Here is a 13,034-nt window from a genome sequence, read left to right as displayed (position 1 = left end):
TATGGAGGATAAGAAGGATGTTCTAACTCCTGTGGGTGTGTATAGGGGATTCTTTCCCACATTCTCCATATGCAAGAAAGAGAAAGGCAGAAAGTGAATCAGAGCAATCGACCAATGTCGCTATGAAATCTATGTCCTGGGAGATCCTTACACAAAGCCCAGAGTGAAAGGCAAGGTCATACTGTCTGTGCTTAGAGGTGGTACTGGGCACGTGACCTCCAGGATCCTCCCTGGGTAATCCACATGCTCTGTGGCAGATAGGATTTCCCTACAAAACCAGCAAACCGTCTGTCAACTTCTAAAATCTCAAGGGAAAAGGAACTATGTACCCTGGTTTCCAGGCCCTTCCAAACTCATCTTTTCTAGCATGCGGATTTGCCAAAGCCCTCCTTCTGCCTGGGCCAGGGATTAAGCACTGAAGGGCTTAAGCTACCTCATCTCTGATAACCAGAGGCCTGGAATGGAGGGGAAAGCCATTCCAAACAGGAGGTCTTGGCCGGGCACAGTGGCTCACGCCTGTAATCCCAGCACTTTGGGAGGCTGAGGCAGGTGGATCACTTGAGACCAGGAGTTCGAGACCAGCCTTGTCAACATGGTGAAACCCCGTCTCTACTAAAAAATACAAAAATTAGCCAGGCATGGTGGTGCATGCTTGCAATCCCAGCTACTTGGGAGGCTGAGGCAGGAGAATCACTTGAACCTGGGAGGTGGACGTTGCAGTGACCCGAGATCTCACCTCTGCACTCCAGCCTGGGCAACAGAGGGAGACTCTGTCTCAAAAAACAAAAAATAAAAACAAACAAACAAAAGCAAGAGGTCTCACAGCAGGTTGGATATCAGGGTAAAATATAGACAAGAGTCCATTAACAAGAGTTAGTAGGGCCATGATGATGATTTCATGACATAAGGCATGTTAACAGCTTAACATATAGCAAAGAATGAAATCGCCTTTGCAAAAATTATAACTAAATGATGACAGTGGAAGAGATCTGATCTAACCAATCCTCATCTTGCTTTTGACTTCCAAACTGCCCTTAGTCATTTCTGGACTTGGGCCAAGCTAAATTTGGGAAACATTTAGTGTATAGTTTACATGGTAACAGCCCTTCCCCCAAACTAAACTGCCTTTGTAAAACTAATGAAAGACTGCCAAGTTAGGAGGATGAAAGGAGCCTGAATTCGGCTAAGGTGTAGACATAAAGGATTACTAGCCATTATTCCAGAAGTCACAAGACTTGCAACTTTCCCAATTACTCCCACAGATAACATCACTGTTGTAGAACTGCAGATTGGCCTTTTGAGATGTCTTTCAGTCTTTTCCCTTTCTGACTACTGGACAGCCCCGACGTGAACCCATAAGCCAGTCCTGCGACCCCACCCAGAAGTGGATACAGAGCATAAGGACCATTTTCCACACCCCTATGACTGCATCTCCAACCAATCAGCAGCACCCATTCCCTAGCCACCTCCTCTCCCTGCCAAACTATCTTGGAAAAATTCTAGCCTCCAAATATTCATGGAGGCTGATTTGAGTCTTTGTGTGTAAAGCTCTTTCCCTATTATAATTCCCCTCTTGAGAAATCGGCTCTATCTGGGGAGCAGGCAAGAAGATCCCACCGGGTGGTTACAAGAACTCAGTACACTGCATTCACCATGGTTGTTGGCGAATTCTTCACTTTTGAGGCTCTCCTAAACTTCCAACTTTGACCAGAAATGAAGATGTCCTATCACATTCTAGTTTATCTTGAAGGCCCTAATTCTGATTTTCCAAAGTGTATTCTTAAGCGTCAGACTTCGGATGAAATGTTCCAAACACATATGTCCACACAAACATATGTTTAAATGTTACATTTGACAGTGGCCACATCAGTCTGATGCGAAGTCATGTGGTTTGAAGGAATCAAATGCACTTGCCTCTAGCAGTAAAGAGGAAGCCAGCAGTCTAAAAATGATTTCAGACTTCTAACAGTCTGTTTAGGAGAAGGCAACTGGGTAGACTCTGCCAAGTGAAGACGTACCTCAGGAAAAACTGGAAAGTGATATAATGGGGAGAAGATGCTTGGGAATTAATAGTGTGGATGTAGGTAGGACTGCAGCACTTTTCGAATACAGTCTTCACGTTGGCCAGATGAAAAGAAGAGCAGTGATATCCGGCGTATAGATCAACTCGGATGATACAACTTGGCTATTTCTTGATTTATTACGTAAGGTTTTCTGTATTTAAAAATCTCTTTATAGATGATAAAAGCATGGATCTGTGTGATAGATAAGCTAATTTTTCATTTCAGAGGTCAGATTGACAGGTTGCATTAAGATTTCAACCTTTTAAAATGAGGCCATGCCACACCTGTAATTTAATCAAGTAGCATTTTTGCCCACTAGCTGAGAAAGCCATGAAAGTGTGAAACGAAGTTTAGAATGAAGGTGCATTTAGCCCAGTCATCTCTGGTTTCTGTGGACTTGCTATTGTTAAGCAAATGTCACTACACCCCTAGAAGGGATGACTCACAGTGACTGCTAGAAAGGGGAGGAGTGGAACAAGGAGATTGAAACCTGAAATACCTGGCCCTGGTATTTAAATGAGGATGTGTGGTTGGGTCTAATAAGAAATGTCTAATTGGGTTGTAACAAGAAATGCGAGAGAACTACTATTTTCACACTCTGGGCTGTGTCGTCTAATTGTTGATACCAGTAGAATTGATTTTTACCAATAGAATTGATATTGATCAATTCCAGTAACTGAACGGTTCTTTTGAGCTGAAATAAATGTTCATGAACTTGGAGCACCTTATCCTTATCCTAAGCAAAATAAGCCAGACACCAAAAGACAAATACTGGGGCCAGGCACGGTGGCTCACGCCTGTAATCCCAGCACTTGGGGAGGCTGAGACAGGTGGATCACCTCAGGTCAGGGGTTTGAGACCAGCCTGGTCAACATGGTGAAACCCTGTCTCTACTAAAAATATAAAATTTAGCCGGGCATAGTGGTGCATGCCTGTAATCTCAGCTACTCAGGAGGCTGAGGCAGAAGAATCGCTTGAGCCTGGGAGGTGAGGTTGCAGTGAGCCGAGATTGTGCCATTGCACTCTAGCCTGGGAGACAGAGCAAGACTGTGTCTCAAAAAAAAAAAAAAAAAAAAAAAAAGACAAATACTGTATGATCTCACATATGTGGAATCTAAAATAGTCAAACTTAAAGAAACAGAGAGCAGAATGGTGGTTGCTAGGGGCTGGGAGTAGAGAAAATGGGGAGATGTTGATTAAAGGGTACAAACTTTCAGTTACAAGATAAATAAGTACTAGCAATTTAAAAGGTATGGCATGGTAATTCAGTTAATAATACTGTGTTATATACTTGAAATATGCTAAGGGAGGAGATCCCAAGTGTTCTCACCACTCACACTCACAAAAGAACAGAAATGCCAAAAAAAAATACATAAATAAAATAAACATTGGTGACATATATGGCTTAGTCAAATTTCTTTGAATCCTATGTTATATTTGACAAAGCTGGATAGTTAAAATAAAAGCAGATTTAATTTGACTCTTTTTTAAATGGTTGCTGGGAAAATAAACTAATAATTGATGGCTTCTACTGAAAGAGAATGAAATGAAACCCTTAAAGTCCTGTCATTCATGGCAACAATTAGGTGGCAGGAAGAAAGCTTGTTTATAATCTGATCTGCCTTGTAAGCACTGCCCCCCTTTGTTGTTGGAGTTACAGAGCACTGCTAATAGAGAACGGGTTTCAGCACAGCAGGAGTAGGGGGCACTGGATGCAAGGGGACTATGGAGCTGAGTGGCAACACATTCTGCAGCCAGGCTCCCTGGTTTGAACCTGCCTCCACCGCTTCAGGACTGCAAGCTTCTCACCTCTCTGAGCCTCTATTCCCTCATCTGCAAAATAGAGACTCTGTCTCTTTATCTACAGATTTAAAAATGCAGATAATAACAGCACCCACTTCACAAGACCCATGGTGAAGATTAAATGAGCAATGCCTATAAAACACTCAGATGAGTTCCCAGTGCTCCAAAAATGTTATCAATCTCCGCAGTGGTGTTCAATGAGGTCAGTACATAAGGTGAAACTGTGGGGTGGGGTGGGGGTTTGAAACAACTACGGCATGAATAATCATAGGTACCATCCACATTTGTACATCCAAAATATTTATCATGGGTGTTGGATGATTACAATCCACAAATTTCTGCCATTATGTTTGTTGTATTATAGAAAAGATTATGGGTTATGCTGTTAGTAACCAGGGATTCATTTTACCAGGACTGTAAATTTCTGAAATAATACATAGAGATAAAGTTGAGATGGATATGCAGAGGATGGCAGGTACCATGATAGCACAATAATTGGACCAGTAGCCATGAATGATCACCTGAGACAGAGTTTCCATGTTAATGGGCTCTATCTGGTCCTTCTACAAGAGGACTTGATTTATCTTTGCGATATTTTTCCCAAAGAATCAGGCAACATTTTAGAGAAAACACAGGGCCCAGCGACGTGACTCACACTTGTAATCCCACTGCTTTGGGAGGCTGAGGCAGGAGGATCGCTGGTGGCCAGAAGTTTAAGACCAGCCTGGTCTACATAATGAGATCCCATCTCTAGAAAAAAAACAAAAATGAGCCAGGCACGATGGCATGCACTTGTAGTCCCAGCTAGTCGGGAGGCTGAGGCAGGAGGATCGCTTGAGCCCAGGAGTTCGGGGCTGCAGTGAGCTAAGATCATGCCACTGCACTCCAGCCTAGGCAACAAAGCCAGATGCTGTCTCTAAAAAATTAAAATAAAAGGCCAGGCACAGTGGCTCACACCTGTAATCCCAGCACTTTGGGAGGCCAAGGCAGATGGATCATTTGAGGTCAGGAGTTCAAGACTAGCCTGGCCAACATGGTGAAACCCCGTCTCTACTAAAAATACAAAAAAAAAAAAAAAATTAGCCGGGCATGGTGGCATGCGCATATAATCCCAGCTACTCGGGAAGCTGAGGAAGGAGAATCGCTTGAACCCAGGAGGTGGAGGTTGCAGTGAGCCGAGATCATGCTACTGCAATCCAGCCTGGGCGACAGAGTGAGACTCCATCTCAAAAATAAATAAATAAACAAAATAAAAAAATTAAAATAAAAAATAATACACATTTAAAGGAAACTCCCACTTTGGCCTGTGTGCCAGACAGGCCCGTCGTTTTCTTCTTTCTCATAGGAAAACTGCCCACATCCTATTTGCTTTTCTTGTCATCTTTCCTGATGGATGGTTGGAAAAGTAACCGCTTCCCCGGTCACAGTGAATTGGATCCTAGGGATCCCTGGTCCACACTGGCCCATCAGTTTTTCTTTCCCGGGATTTTAGATTCCTAGGATATTCTACATGTGAGAATTAGACATGGAGACTTGAGAAGCATCAACAAGGCTGAGAGAGGTGGTGCTGATGCGTATCTGCAGAGAGATGTCATCGAGAAGCAGGGATGACAGGCTGGGGGCCCCCCTACAACCCCCCAGATGGAGCCATGGTTATCAGACTGCTGGAAGCTCTCTCATTCAGGTGGCACTTCTTGCCTCTGGGTGTCTTGAGATACACAGAAACAAGCCATGTCTTCTCAGCAAATACCCGCTTTACTCACTCTGGCTTGACAATCTACTTGCAGCAGATGGAAGGTTGTAAAACTTAAATTCCTGACATTTCATTTTCCTTGATATAATTTATTTTCTTGAGAAAAATGAACCTTATCTTGTCTTGTAACATACTACCTTCTGAGAATTGAAGGCAGAGGCTGCGGAAGAGCAGTAAGTCACTTCATTGAGGAGAGACCTGGAAAATTCGGGAAGGTGGAAGAAGGGCCTCACGAGGATCTGGGAAGATGAGTTGGCAAAAAAAAAAAAAAAAACACGCTGCAATCAGAATTGCATATGAAAGAAGGAAAGGTTGAAGGCTTGGTGGGGGCAGGGAAGTGACATAATTGCGATAGAACCAAAGAGAAGGCAGGAATCCAAGATCAGACAGCAAATGTCAAAAAGGTTCTCTGGAAGAGGATTAAGGAAACAGGTAGCAAACACTTTGAGCTATCTGTGAACCATATGATAAAGGAACTCACCATATGGTGCAGGAAGATAGCAAAGCAGGCTGAAGTACAGGGAAGTGCTTTTGTCTGTAGGATTATATAACCACATCTAATGTATGTATGTATATGTCTGTGTGTGAATACATACCACTAATGAGATTAAAATTAGTAGAGACTCCCACAACAGAAGCTCAGACTTTAGAGAAGGCCTTTGTTCCTGGCATGAACTAAGCTGCCTTTTAATCTCCTCAGGCAATTTCTTCCTGTTAAAATCTGGTGCCGGGCTTGGCTCCAGCAGATGATGCTGTGAGGCCAGGTGTGGTGGCTCAAGCCTGTAATCCCATCACTTTGGGAGGCTGAGGCAGGCGGATCACTTGAGGCCAGGAGTTCGAGACCAGCCTGGCCAACATGGTGAAACCCTGTCTCTATTAAAAACATAAAAATTACTTGGGCGTGGTGGCAGGCGTTTGTAATCCCAGCCACTCGGGAGGCTGAGGCAGGAGAATTGCTTGAACCTGGGAGGTGCAGTGACTCAAGATCACCCCACTGCACTCCAGCCTGGGCAACAGAGCAAGACTCTGTCTCAAAAAGGAAAAAAAAAAAAAAAAAAAAGGGACACTGAGGTCTGGGGCCTGGAACTCTGGAATGCTCTCTCATGCTCACAGAGCATGGTAGTTAAGCACCCTGGCCTTTGGGAAGAAAAGTTTGGAGGCTGCAGAGGGAGGTGCTATTGAGATGCTGGAGCTGGAACATAGGGCTGACTTCTCCATCAAAACCCACCAGGCACAGTGCTCAGGGCCCATGCTGTTTTCAAGGTTCATAAGGCACTTTAATTTTTTTTTTTAAATCACAAGGAAAAAAGTGAACCTAGGTGGAAGTACATGTTTTAATATGTAATATTAATATATTTGTCTTCATACCAATGCAGTCATGAGATACCATTTTTTGCTTTTTTTTTCATGGAAGAAGGAGAAACCCACAAATGTCATTATGCAGCTTTCTAAATATATAAGAGACAGGGTGTCCCTCTGCTGTCCAGGCTGGAGTGCAATGGTGTAATCATAGCCACTTCAGCCTCGAACTCCTGGGCTCAACCTCTCTTCCTGCCCCAGCCTCCAGAGTAGCTAGGACTACAACTGTGTGCCAGTGTGTCTGGCTTTTTTTTTTTTCCTTTGAGACGGAGTCTCGCTCTGTCGCCCAGGCTGGAGTGCAGTGACATGATCTCGACTCACTGCAACCTCTGACTCCCAGGTTCAGGTGATTCTCCTGCCTCAGCCTCTTGAGTAGCTGGGATTACAGGCATGCGCCACCACGCCCGGCTAATTTTTATTTGTATTTTTAGTAGAGATGGGGTTTCACTATGTTGGCCAGGCTGGTCTCAAACTCCTGACCTCGTGATCTGCCTGCCTCAGCCTCCCAAAGTGCTGCAATTACAGGTATGACCCACTGCATCCAGCTGTGTCTGGCTAATTTTTAAACACATTTTTAGAGATCAGGTCTTGCTATGTTGCTCAGGCTGGGCTGGTCTTGAACTCCTGAGCTCAAGCAATCCTCCAGGCTTGGCCTCTAGAGGCTCTGGGATTATAGCCATGAGCCACCACACCTGGCCTCATTAGGTAGCTCTTGTAATCGTTTTGTAACTGCTGTTTCAAAAAAGTCAAAAAGAGAGAAAGGGAAGGAAGGAAGAAAGAAAGGAAAAAAGGAAGAGGAAAGAGTAGTGGTTTGGACTGGGCATGGTGGTTCACTCCTATAATCCTAGCACTTTGAGAGGTCAAGGCAGGAGGATTCCCTGAGCCCAGGAGTTCGAGACCAGCCTGGGCAACAAAGTGGGACCCTGTCTCTACAAAAACAATAAAAAAATTAGCTGGGTGTGGTGGCATGTGCCTGTAGTCCCAGCTACTTGGGAGACTGAGATGGGAGGATTGCTTGAGCCTGGGAGGTTGAAGCTGCAGCGAACCATGGTCACGTCACTGCACTCCAGCCTGGGTGACAGAGTGAGACTCTTGTCAAAAAAAAAAAAAAAATTTAAACTAGGGGTTTGGGAAGATGTGTGGACCCCAAAGTGGAGAAGAGATGGCAAGAGGCAACTGAAATCACAAAACCAGCTTTCAAGGTCCCGCCTCCTTCTTGGAGAAGTCACTTAACCTCTCTGCCTTACAATTTCTATATGATATAATAGAGTGATTATCAGTGACTACCTTGCAGGATTATGGTGTGAATTAATATGATATAATGCATGCAAATCCATGGCATGGTCCTTGTCAATGAGCATGAGCTCAGAAACGTTGGCGATAATGGGCAGGGTGTGAGTGGAATTGGAGTGGGTGCAGCTGGGCAGTAGAGTTGGTAAGGGTTAAGAAAATGGAGGTTGAAGGTTGAAAAGGAACCAGCTAAGGAGTCACTGCACTCACTAGAGATGCTTCCAAGACTTGGGGACTCCCATAAGGCTGAAGCCTGTGGAGGAGGTCAGAAGGGCAGAGGCTGGAGGAGTGAAAGCCATTCTCATGGGCCCTCTTAGGAATCCCTGCGGATGACTCACGGTTCCAATGAGCACAGGGCACATGTGTTATTTACACATGGACAGGTAGCCAATAAGCACAGAGTGATGAGGATGAACAGAAAACCCAGAGCCCTCCATCACTAGGAGTATGTGGTTTGTCTAATGGCAGCAACTTACACTGAAAATAAGGCATGCAATTTTTTTTTGTTTTTTGCTTTTATAGAGATGGGGTCTCCCTTTGTTGCTCCATCTCCTGGGTTCAAGTGATCCTCCTGCCTTGGCCTCCCAAAGCACTGAGATTAAAGGTGTGAGCCACTGCACCTGGCCATAAACTCTGCTTAGCACTTAGAGGGAAAGATGAGAAAATAAGAGGGAAAAATGACTAACCTCCTAGAATATGTTTGTGACATTCCACGGAATCGCTGTTAAAACTAGGAAATTACATGTTAAGTTTCAAGCAATCAAGATCCCAAAATCAGCTGGTCACAGTGGCTCATGCCTGTAATGCCAGCACTTTGGGAGGCTGAGGCAGGCAGATCACTTGAGCCAAGGAGTTCGTGGCTGCAGTGAGCTATGATTGCACCACTGCCCTCCAGCCTGGGTGACAGAGTGAGACCCTGTCTCTAGAAGAAAAAAAAAAAAAAAAAAAAAGCCCCAAATCATACACATCTAAATCAAAGCTGATCTGTTTAATGCCATTTACTAGCTGTGTGACTTCAGCAAGTTATTCCAACTTTCTGCATCTCACTCTCCTCATCTGTAAAATGGGGACAACAGTAGCTGCATCATAGAGTAAGTGTGAGCTAATGAATACATACTAAGCACTTATAACAGAGCCTGGCACATAGTAAGGACCCAAAAAATGTTAGGTGTTATCATCATCTTCGTCGTCACCATCACTACCACTAGAATATAAGTTTCATGAGGGCAGGCAGATATATTTGTTTGTTTTGTTCATAGACATTGCCTCTGTACCTACAAGGGTACCTGGCATATAGTAGATGCTCAATAAATACTTCTTGAATGAATGAATCCTTAGTTATGCCTTTCAGTGGGAAGTTACTGTAAAGGTGATGACTTCTGCCCAGAATAATGTATGGATTCCAATCTTATTTCCAGTTCCCTTCCCCTCATGCCTGCCCTACTCCCCTGAGCAAGCCAGGATGCCTCATGCTCAGATCTGGAGAGATATGAGTTACAAGACTGCTGATAACCTGGGAGACAGATGTTTCTGAAAGTTGCTAAGGGGAGGAGACATAATACAAAAGGATAAGGAAGGAGTGGGTGGGGAGGAAATGAAGGTAGAAAATCTCCAAAGAGTAGCTTTGCTGTCTGGATATATTTAGTGAGTAAAGGAGGGTAGAGGGAGGTCAAGATCACACGAAAGATTTTTAAGGATACAGGCAGTGTTGCGCATATTCCTTATTTGAAGGAAAGGATATGGAGGAGGGGGATGAACAGAGACTTTTTGTAACTTCCAGGTACGCACACGAATTGTAACAAAAGACTTTACATTCTTAGAAATACCATGGTAATCGAGCTGCCAAATCACCTCAATCTTACATTGTGTAAGTGTAAGATTTTATGACAGTTTTTCACCAAATGTGGTTCAGGTACTAGTACAAGAACAAAATTACTCTTCTTTTAATATATTTTCCTAAAACACATTAAAATAAATATATAACTGGTATATCAAACCAAACACATTAAAATAAATGTATAACTGGTACATCAAACTTGTGATTTCACATATATTATTGCTTAGGGCAATGTTAAGAAGAAGAAAAGGAAGTCAAGTTAAAGTCACTTTAAAGAAAAATATGATCGAATAAAGGAGGCATGTAATGGCAAGGAAAAACCCATAACAGGTGCATAAATGACTAATATTTGGAAAACTTGGCCAAGACTATAGTCAACTCTGTTGTACGGTCTGAATTTTGAGCTACAAAAGTTGATGCCAGCATCTTGGAGAGTGTCACACAAATGCCAAGTTTCTAGGGGTACCCTAGTGGAAGGGGCCACCACCAGACCCTCCACAGCCTCCTTAGTGATACACCCAGGCATTTAATGTCATTGGTTCAGTGTCCTGGGATTATTTTAGGGAAGTCAAGCACTAGATGGGGAAGCTTAATGGTTCTGTCTCTCACCTCTCTGCTTCTGATTTTAGATCATCTTAGATTCATAGACAGCAACAGAGCTGGATGGGATTTTTAAAAGAGAAAAAATGTGATACCTGGGCACCTAGTTTCTATAGTAACTTCACTTTTTCTTTTTAATTTCATAAGCTGCTGACTTCTTCCTACTTGACTTATTCCTGGCTCGTGCTAGCTTCAAGAAAGTCACCACTAACACCTGGCGTGCTCCATGATTTGAACACAAAGAAATGTCACAGAAAAGAGGCACTTGAAGTTTTTTGTGTGTGGAGTGTGATACATCAAGAGCTCTAAAGGGAAAAGTCAGAAGGTCTTTTGTGTGTCACCGTGAAAAATTGCAGCCAGGACTGAAAAGTAGGGAATGTGGCTGAGACGACGTGTCATCCACCCAAATTGTTCTCCCGGCCTCCTTTGCACTGAAGTGTGGCCACGTGGCTATATTTTCTCTAATAGAGAGTAGGCAGAAATGATTGGTGCCACTTCCCAAGCTGAGACTTTTAAGAAGCAGCTTGTGCCTCCTCCACCCTCTGACTGCAGAGAAAAACAAAGCTCTAGGGATTAATGGAGCCATACAGGACGAAAGACACCTTGTCCCCAATCACCATATGGAGAGAGTGGGTGTGGCCAGGCGCGCCTGTCTTAAACGTCTTAAACTTAGAAGTTTAATGAAAATTTTAAACTTCTATTGTGTCTGAGCCAGTATATATTTGGGGGTCTATTTGTTACAGCAGATGAATCTACCCTAATAAAAGTTTAGGTGCCCTGTCAGCCACACAGATTAACCAAGCCTATTTTGGGGGTGGGGGCCAGGAACAAAGAGACATTCTGAGATTTTCATTTACTATTTCCCCTCTTTGCATAGTTAACTTAACTCGTCCTTTAGCTATAGCTCGAGCCACTTTCTCACAGAAGACTTCTCTGGCTTCAACCAGGGCAAATCCCACTCCCGCAGGTGCCCATGGAACATACTAAACATCACAGTTGCTTTCATGCCTGTGTGATTTTTTAAATGAATGTGTATACCTCCACTGCATTTTAAAAACTATGCGTTTTTCAAAACTCATAGAATGATATACTTAAGATAGCTGCATTTCAGTGTGTGTAATTTTACCTTTAAAATAATCATTGCAAATATTGAATTCTGGTTAAATGGTATACATGCTGAATGTAAAGTGCATTTGCAGTTATCTGCAAATGTAAAGTGTATGGATGTCTGCAACTTGCTTTGAAATGCATTAAAAAAGCGTTGATGGACGGATAGACAGATGGATACATGATAAAGCAAATACAGTCAAATGTTACTTGTGGAATCCAGGTGGTGGGTGTTATAGATGTTCATTATGCAATCATTTCAACTTTTCCATTTTTTAAATTTTCATAATGAAATGTTGAAGAAAAAGTTTAATGAAAGCAGGGACCATGAGTATATTACATAAAAGGAATTGGTCTATACACATTTTATATTGCCAATCATAATGTTCCATAATTTGCTTTTATTTTTATTTGATATGTTATGAAAATCTTTCTATGACGACAGATAGATGATTGATTGATTGATGATACGTAGACAGATGATAGATAATAAGATAGACAGATAATAGGTAAATAGATGATAGATGATAAACAGATGATAGATATAGATGATAGATGATAGATAGATGATGGGTAGATAGATAACAGAAAGATGATAGGTAGATAGATGATAGATTAGATAGACAGATGGATAGATAGATAGATAGATAGATAGATGCACGTGCATGAGAGAGGGACAGAAAGAGAGAGGAGAGAGTCACTTCGTTTTTTTTTGTATTTATTATGAATATACCATTTGGGCTATTTCTGTTTTCCAGTAAATACCATTTTTACATAGATCTTCTGTGCTGAAGCTTCTTTCAGCTTCTTTATGGTTATAGATCTATGTCCACTATAGCACACCAGCTGCCTCCCCCAGCTCCTTTCTAACCCCCTGATCCCATCTCAACTCACGTACATTAGCTCAGTTCCATCCATAGGCAAGAGTCAGGGGTATAAGAGAACAAGAAAGCCTCCATTCAAACTTTCCTGCATACTATTTTTTAAAGACGTGGATCATACAAATCATTACCATGAGCACATATGAAATCTCAGAAGACACACAGTATTAGCATTCATTAAATATTTAATGCATGTTTATTATGGCAGCACATTAGGGTTAGAGGAATCACGTTTATAATATAAAGAGTTATCCTTGTGCTGTGTATATACTTGATCAAGTATTTGCTGTATTTACTTTATAAGGTAAGCTTGTATCATCAATCCGGACGGTACAAATCTG

The 13,034-nt window shown here is 42.6% G+C and overlaps 1 protein-coding gene across 3 annotated transcripts in view, besides 4 other annotated features; it reads right to left on the bottom strand.

Annotated features, from left to right (window-relative positions):
* The window catches only part of PRKCB (protein kinase C beta), a 384,629-nt gene that overhangs the window by 78,622 nt on the left and 292,973 nt on the right, over positions 1-13,034 (bottom strand). The window lies entirely within an intron of this gene.
* Positions 3,608-3,902: a silencer, noted in NCBI's record as "tiled region #8464; K562 Repressive non-DNase unmatched - State 14:Gen5'". NCBI's record gives its function as "represses a minimal TATA promoter and a strong SV40 promoter by Sharpr-MPRA in K562 cells {active_cell/tissue: K562}" and the evidence as "EXISTENCE:reporter gene assay evidence [ECO:0000049][PMID:27701403]".
* Positions 4,231-4,766: an enhancer, noted in NCBI's record as "H3K27ac hESC enhancer chr16:24148545-24149080 (GRCh37/hg19 assembly coordinates)". NCBI's record gives its function as "activates a minimal SCP1, AML or CMV promoter by ChIP-STARR-seq in primed H9 embryonic stem cells {active_cell/tissue: H9 hESC(primed)}" and the evidence as "EXISTENCE:reporter gene assay evidence [ECO:0000049][PMID:30033119]".
* Positions 4,767-5,302: an enhancer, noted in NCBI's record as "H3K27ac hESC enhancer chr16:24148009-24148544 (GRCh37/hg19 assembly coordinates)". NCBI's record gives its function as "activates a minimal SCP1, AML or CMV promoter by ChIP-STARR-seq in primed H9 embryonic stem cells {active_cell/tissue: H9 hESC(primed)}" and the evidence as "EXISTENCE:reporter gene assay evidence [ECO:0000049][PMID:30033119]".
* Positions 5,839-6,374: an enhancer, noted in NCBI's record as "OCT4-NANOG-H3K27ac-H3K4me1 hESC enhancer chr16:24146937-24147472 (GRCh37/hg19 assembly coordinates)". NCBI's record gives its function as "activates a minimal SCP1, AML or CMV promoter by ChIP-STARR-seq in naive H9 embryonic stem cells {active_cell/tissue: H9 hESC(naive)}" and the evidence as "EXISTENCE:reporter gene assay evidence [ECO:0000049][PMID:30033119]".

Source organism: Homo sapiens, chromosome 16 (assembly GCF_000001405.40).
Source record: "Homo sapiens chromosome 16, GRCh38.p14 Primary Assembly".
Lineage (NCBI taxonomy): Eukaryota > Metazoa > Chordata > Mammalia > Primates > Hominidae > Homo > Homo sapiens.
This window is presented reverse-complemented; position numbering and strand designations above follow the sequence as displayed.